Here is a 5,063-nt window from a genome sequence, read left to right as displayed (position 1 = left end):
TTGCTGCTTACAGAATAGAATCCAAACTTTACCATTCCTGGCACTGAATAGGCATTTAATGCAAATGTATTAAAATAATGAACTCAAGGGCCTCTATCAGCTGGCTCTAATTTCTCCTTTCTAATTTATCTCTTTCCCTATTGCCTCTTCCTGCCCCTGAGTGGAATCTATTCTGTAATTCAATAGTTGCATTTTTTTTTCTTTTTCTTTCTTTTTTTTTTTTTTGAGACAGAGTCTCACTTTGTTGCCCAGGCTGGAGTGCAGCGGCGTGATTTCGGCTCACTGCAACCTCCGCCTCCCAGCTTCAAGTGATCCTCTTGCCTCAGCTCCCTAAGTAGCGGGATTACAGGCACGCACCACCACGCCTGGCTAATTTTTGTATTGTTAGTAGAGACATGGTTTCTCCATGTTGGTAAGGCTGGTCTTGAACTCCTGACCTCAGGTGACCTGCCCACCTCAGCCTCCCAAAGTGCTGGGATTACAGGCGTGAGCCACCGTGCCCGGCCGCATTTTTTTTTCTTATTTTTACTACTGGAACAAATATAGTTGCATTTTAAAAGAAACCTCCGATTATCAAACTGTGTGATTTAAAAATAATTGTTTCAATAGGAAAATAAAAATAAAGGCTAGAGTATTTAAGACTTGAAATACTAAGAGCTGTCTTGGTCTGCCCATCAGATCCTCCTGTCTTCTGGTCTCAGCCTCCAGCCCCTAGACCACAGTGGTGAGTTCTGTCCAACACTGGGCAAATATATTATCACCACAGTGATTGGTCCAGGCATGCATATTGACCCAAGATAGCAAATAGGAAGTCTTTCTCCTAGTCCTCTGCCCCCGCGCCTAGTTCTGCTTGCAAGATGAAGAGCTTAGCCTGGTGCTGTATGTGACTATAAACTAATTGTAAGGAGAAAGACTAATGGTGGTAGGAGAGACTGAAGCAAACTGGCAGAGAAAAGCAGAAGAGAGAGTGAGGAGGCAGACAGGAGGAGACAGCAGGAGAGAAGAGTAAATAAATATGGGTGCATTTGAACCCTGGGTCCATGTGTGCTTGAGGCCAGCTTCATCACTGTGCCTTTTCTAGTTCAACTATTGAGCCTGTAATTTTTCCTTTTTGGCTTAAGTTAGTTTGAGTTGGATCAGAAGTGGGAACAGAGCAAGTCAAATGAGGCACTTGAGGAGCAAAATTTAAGGAGGCATCTTTACAAACCTGACAGTGAGCACCTTCATACATTTCTCACCCTCAGCTCCTCACTGGCCTCCTCTTAGTCTTGACTTTGAGTTGAATTTTAATAACTTGTAACCAAACAAATTCTTGGCTAATATAAGCTCTACTTGTTATTTTCAATAAATAACAAATTCTTGGCTAATTTAAGCTCTACTTGTTATTTTCAAATTGCAAGCTAAAAACATTATATTAGTTGATCCAGTTGGCCAAATACACCCCAATTTTTTTAGGCTGCATTATTTTTAATTAGGTACAAAGATCTTGTTAACATATCACCTAGAGACCATTTCACCCACTGCTTTAGGCTGCCAGTCTCTTGTCTGTCTCTTCAGCAGTGGTGAGGTGGATACCCTTTCCTTGGGTTTTGTTGCCCTTGCCAATAACAAAAATGCTGGAAAGCCAGGTGGCAAAGCTGTTGCTGTTGGCATCTTTCACATGAACCACATCAAAAGATCCAGGGTGCCTCTCTCTGTTGGTAATCACACCAATTCTTCCCAGGTTCGCACCTCCAGTCACCATCCACAGGTTACCAGTATCAAACTTGATGACATCGGTACTCTTGCCAGTATCCAAATCAATCTGAATGATGTCATTCACCTTGATGAGGGGACCAGGGTAGCGGATGGTGCCAGCATCATTGGTTACCAGATGAGGGATTCCTTTTGTAGCCGCAAGATTTTTCTCACTTTGCACAATTTGTACTTGGCCTCCTCAGCTGTAATACGGTGAATGGCAAAGTGACCCTGATGTTACAGGTCAGACGGACATTCTCTCTGGTCTTGTCAATGATGATGACATCTTTGAATCCAGCAGGGTAGGTTCTATCAGTTTGGACCTTGTCGTCAATCTTAATGAGCCGCAGCATCCAAATCTTTAGTTCATCTCTGATCAGGGCATACTTAATTCTGTTTCTTAGGAAAAATGATGAGGAGGAGACATACTCTCAGCTTGTGGGGACTGGTGGATGGATGAGGAGCAGACACACCAGTCAGTGTCTCCAGCATCCATTGCTTTGAGCTGCTACCACTTCAGATGCTTCTTGGGACCATAAGCCATGGCTACCTTAGGCATGGAAAGAAGTTCACCTTCCTCCCCTAAAGATTCAATGAACAAGCCAGGCATGGTAGCTCACGCCTGTAATCCCAGCACTTTGGGAGGCCGAGGTGGGTGGATCACCTGAGGTCAGAATTTGAGACTAGCCTGGCCAACATGGTGAAACCCCATCTCTACTAAAAATACAAAAAAAGTAGCTGGGCGTGGTGGTGGGTGCCTGTAATCCCAGCTACTTGGGAGGCTAAGGCTGGAGAATTGCTTGACCCTGGGAGGCGGAGGTTGCAGTGAGCCGAGATCACACCATTGCACTCCAGCCTGGGCAACAAGAGTGAAATTCCATCTAAAAATAAAAAATAAAAAATAAAAAATAAAAAAATAAATTAAATGAACATATCCTGAAGAACACAGGCCCACAGACAACTGGGTCAAAGTCAGTGGGTTTCTACAGAGGCTAAGAAAGTAGATGTGGCCCATTTCACGATTGCCAGCAACTGACGTGGCTCCAGGACCAGTGATTCATTAGGGAACATGGTGTGTGTTCGGTATAACTCAGCTGGATGTCAGTTGTCACTTTCTCAGAGCTCCTGTCTTTCTGACTTGTCTTATGGTTGGTGGAATAGACACAGAATTCATTTCCCCTTCTTTGGGCAACAGTACCTGGGATTGTGCTTGTCACATAGAAATTAAAATTAGATATGTGTTGAATTGAACTGATCTGGTCACGCCTTACCCTAGACACATCTAACAATGGGGGTGTCACTCATTCTTGGCCAGTTGGTGCTTTTCCTCCTCTGGCTTTGATGCTTAGCTCATGGGTGGACATCTGACCTGAAGCAGCCTATGAGACTCAAGTGCCAGGACTTGTGTTGAAACTATTGGGAAAGAACAGTCCTCTTCTTCTGGGGCTGCAAAGCTGTGAGACTGTGGGTCCAGTGGCCTTTTTATGATCTGGGAGTGACAGCCTAAGAATGGAGCTAGTGGAGCAGAGAGAGAAAGATGAGTCCTAATTTTCTGGATCCCTGGATGTAATCAACTCTGTACTTTTCAGTTATTTGAGCCAACAATTCTGTTCTGTTTGTTTGTTCTGCTGAAGCGAGCCAGAATTGGGCTTCTGTACTTGTCACTAAAGAGCCCACATTCGCGGTGGCTCACGCCTGTAATCCCAGCACTTTGGGAGGCCGAGGCGGGTGGATCATGAGGTCAGGAGATCGAGACCATCCTGGCTAACAAGGTGAAACCCCGTCTGTACTAAAAAATACAAAAAATTAGCCGGGCTTGGTGGCGGGCGCCTGTAGTCCCAGCTACTCGGGAGGCTGAGGCAGGAGAATGGCATGAACCCGGGAGGCGGAGCTTGCAGTGAGCCAAGATCGCACCACTGCACTCCAGCCTGGGCGACACAGCGAGACTCCGTCTCAAAAAAATAAATAGATAAATAAATAAATGAGCCCACATTAATACAGTCCATTTTTAAAATCTGCATATCTGTTAGGATGCTCGTGGTGGTGGTACTTGCCAATGGCCAATTCGCTGGGATTACACAATATGGTTTATGATCTCACAGGAAATCAGGCATAGAACACCTTCAGGCACAGTTTGATCAAAGCTCCAGCTCTACTTCTCTGTGATTCTCTTAGTTATGCCCCTCTCCATATATTGGTCTTGGTGGCAGCAACATGACTTAAGCAGTTGCAACACATTCAGATTCCTCAACCAGAGGCAGAAAAGGGACTGTCTCTTCCAGCCTGTGCTGCTTAAGAGAAGCCCCTCAGCAGACTTCCCTTCCCATCTCATTGGACATAACTGAATCCCATGCTCATTCCTAAGCCAATCCCAGGCAAGGGGGATGGGACCACCATGTTTGGCTGGGGCTGAGGCCAAGATCCACCTCCCTATAGCTTATGTCCCATAGAGGGACATATATTTATGCATTCCTCTCCCGCATCTTCACTCTGCTTGCTCTTCAGGTTCCATCCCCTACCACATAGACAACTTCCTCCCATATTGAGGAAAAGCTCTTCATATGACCTTGTGCCCTTTCCAGCCACCATAATATTTCTCTACTTCCTTCCATCAAGGTTAGGTGGCCCCATGGTTGGCAGAACTCAAAGGAAGTTTCTGAGGTGTGCAGAAAGGCTCTATGTTCAGGATAGGCAAAGGCTTTGGGTGGCAGAACCAAGGCCAAGGAGGTGAAGTGTTAGAGATTCAAGATGGCTGACAATACACTCCTTGAGAAGTAGTGAGCTCTCCACCAAGGGAAGTGTTCAAACAAAGTCTGGGTGGCTCTCTTTGAATCATTATAGAAGTACTTCACTTATTGGGAGTGAGTTTGGACTGGATTTGTTAATTCATTCATTTATTCAGCAAATATTTATTGAGCACCAGGTTCTATCCTGAACACTGAGAATATGCCTGCATTTTGCAAGCCAGGAACATAAATAATAATGAAAAGGAGAATTCCTAACCTGCCTACAACAATTTCCCACACATTAGCTTATCTGGGCCTAGGGCAGTCCTATGCATAAAGCAGAGCTATTACTCCCTTTTTCTAGCTGCAGCAGAAACTAAGACTCATAATGTTGAGATGGTCTGCCCAGTACACAAAGAGGAGAATGCGTTCCTTTCTCTAGTTTTCAGGTAGTTTGAATAGAATCCCAGCTGAGGCCAGGCATGGTGGCTGAGGCCAGGCATGGTGGCTCATGCCTGTAATCCCAGCACTTTGAGAGGTGAGGCAGGCGGATCACCTGAGGTCAAGGAGTTTGAGACCAGCCTGGCCAACATGGTGAAA

At 45.2% G+C, this 5,063-nt stretch overlaps 1 pseudogene; it reads right to left on the bottom strand.

Moving 5' to 3' along the window:
- Positions 1,456–2,318, bottom strand: RPS4XP4 (ribosomal protein S4X pseudogene 4; annotated as a pseudogene).

The sequence above is a fragment of the Homo sapiens genome, chromosome 1, assembly GCF_000001405.40.
Source record: "Homo sapiens chromosome 1, GRCh38.p14 Primary Assembly".
NCBI classification, from domain to species: domain Eukaryota; kingdom Metazoa; phylum Chordata; class Mammalia; order Primates; family Hominidae; genus Homo; species Homo sapiens.
This window is presented reverse-complemented; position numbering and strand designations above follow the sequence as displayed.